General features: G+C 62.3%; 1 protein-coding gene across 1 annotated transcript; it reads right to left on the bottom strand.

The window, feature by feature from the left end:
- Window positions 1-235: 235 nt before the first annotated feature.
- LOC107987372 (uncharacterized) lies at window positions 236-1,058 on the bottom strand. The gene has a single exon (XM_017030109.1). The coding sequence runs from the start codon at window positions 956-958 to the stop codon at window positions 236-238; it is 723 nt and encodes a 240-aa protein (XP_016885598.1). The 5' UTR covers window positions 959-1,058.

Genomic DNA, 1,058 nt, shown 5'->3' with positions numbered 1-1,058 from the left:
ACATCCCAATTAAAAAATAGGCAAAGGACTTGAATAGACATTTCTCCGAAGAAGATACACAAATGTCTAAGACGGACAAGAAAAGATGCTAAACACCGTTATTCATTAATAAAATGCAAGACAAAACCCAAATGAGATGCCACTTTGCATCCACTAGTAAGGCTTTCATAACAACGACACAGAAAATCAGTGTTGCTAAGGAGGTGGAGAAATTGGAGCCCTTATGAACTGGCTGCTAGGAATAGAAAATGATGCACTTGCCGTGGAAAACAATTTGGTGGTTCCTCACAGAATCACACAGAGAAACAGGCGCTGCGGGCTTCCGGGTTCTCCTGGGCTGGCGCGGTATGTCCCGGAATCGCAGGCACGCATCCCTTCCCGCCTGAGGGCCTGCCTGTCCTTGACTCCCGCCCCTCTTCTCCTCCGAAGAGAGGTCGGGGCCTCTCCAGGGGCCGTCCGCAGCCACCGGGGATGGGGCTGAGGGTCGGTTCCTGCCCCGGTGCAGCCGCCGCCGGGCAGACCGCCTGGCTTGGCCGCAGCCACGGCGACATCCACGCCCAGGTCTGCGAGGCTGGGCGCGCCAGCCAGCTTGGGAGTTGCCTGGCGCCTGTAGCTGGGCGCCCAGGTGGTGGAGCATGGCCTGGGCGGCCTCTGGATCGCGAGTGCCCCTGGCCTGAGAGCCCGCCAGACCCTGCCCCCGCCCGGCTCCTCCTCTGCCAGAGCTCGACACCTCTAGCCAAGGGCCCTCTGCAGCCACGGGGGATAGGGCTGAGGGCCGGTTCCCGCCCCCGTGCAGCTGCTGCAGGGCAGACCGCCTGGCTTGGCCGCAGCCACAGGGACATCTGGCCCTCGTTCCGAGATGTGGGAAGTGAGGGCGGACTCGGGAGTTGCCTGGAGGTTGCTGCCTGCACACAGAAGGTGGCTGCAGCTTGGGTGCCCAGGCGAGCTGGAGGTGCATGGCCTGGTCGGCCTCGGGATCGCCAGCGCGCCCAGCCTGAGGGCCCCCAGGCTGTGCCTCCCGCCCAGTCCTCCACCTGAGGGAGATCGGGGCCGTTGGT

Source organism: Homo sapiens (assembly GCF_000001405.40).
Source record: "Homo sapiens chromosome 9 unlocalized genomic scaffold, GRCh38.p14 Primary Assembly HSCHR9_UNLOCALIZED_CTG3".
Classification (NCBI taxonomy): domain Eukaryota; kingdom Metazoa; phylum Chordata; class Mammalia; order Primates; family Hominidae; genus Homo; species Homo sapiens.
Note: the sequence above shows the minus strand (reverse complement) of the source record. Positions and strands in the feature narration are given on the sequence as shown.

Coding starts and splice junctions, on each gene's coding strand:
- LOC107987372 (XM_017030109.1), bottom strand. CDS start 958: ATGCACCTCCAGCTCGCCTGGGCACCCAAGCTGCAGCCACCTTCTGTG.